The 961-nt window shown below is 40.0% G+C and overlaps 1 non-coding gene across 1 annotated transcript; it reads right to left on the reverse strand.

Annotated features, from left to right (window-relative positions):
* Positions 1-411: 411 nt before the first annotated feature.
* On the reverse strand, positions 412-467 carry MIR4328 (microRNA 4328). Its single transcript, NR_036258.1, has one exon. It is a non-coding gene; the product is annotated as a microRNA 4328 (primary transcript).
* Between the last annotated feature and the right edge of the window lie 494 nt (positions 468-961).

Genomic DNA, 961 nt, shown 5'->3' on the forward strand with positions numbered 1-961 from the left:
ACCCATTTGTTTGTTATAGACAAAGGGGTCCTGAGACTGAGGACATAAACCAAAAAAAAGGCCATGGAACAAAAGATGAAAGATACGAGAAAAGAAGGGGCAATGGCTTATAAGAATTTGTTACCTAAACAATTTATAGACATAGCAGTGCCTTAATCTAAAGCAATAAAACCCAATGGTGGAATTTCAGAAAGTATGATAACCAGTTTGAAAAAGTGGGATACATTTATACAGCCTCAGATTAGAAATCTACTTCTCCTCCTTAAACCAATTATATCAGAGGCAATTGTCCTGGTTTGATTTTCTTTTGAAAAGACTGCATTGACTTGAAATGTGTATGTGAGGGATGAACAGGGAGCAGGGAAATTTGCCTTTGGAAATTAAGTTCTTACTAAAATAGTTTTTATCTCTCGGAACAGTTAATCCTGGGAAAACTGGTTCTCAATGGTTCTCAGGACTCAACTGTTTTGGGGTTAATTCAGGAAATTCTAAATACCAGAGAGGCCAAATTATTGCTTCAACTTTTGGGAAGAGGTGCCATTCTTGAACTTGCTAGATGGTGAGCTAAAATGAGGAGGATGATCTGAAGTCTTTTTACATAGACTTCCAATGTCATGCTCTTATGGGCTTGCTCTGTCCAGTAAATGGCACAGATCTCCATCCTCAGCGACCTCAGAAGTGCCAATGAAGACTTATCAAAAGTATCACTTCCTGGGCCTGTGCATGTCTCAGATGCAGGTTCACTGTTGATCTTACCCATAGATATTAGTCAATGTCTGCATTAATGACCCTTCTGGGTCAACCTCAAGAGAGCCACAGAACTTGTTTTTCTTCTCTTCAATCCTGACCTGACCCCTCTATTAGCCTTACTTTAAGCCAGGAGAGCTCCTACTACAGAAAAAGGGGATGAGTCACTGAGGGCCAGGAACAAGACTAGATCTCTTTAGTGTCAAAGGAAGAC

Source organism: Homo sapiens, chromosome X (genome assembly GCF_000001405.40).
Source record: "Homo sapiens chromosome X, GRCh38.p14 Primary Assembly".
Taxonomy (NCBI): Eukaryota; Metazoa; Chordata; class Mammalia; order Primates; family Hominidae; genus Homo; species Homo sapiens.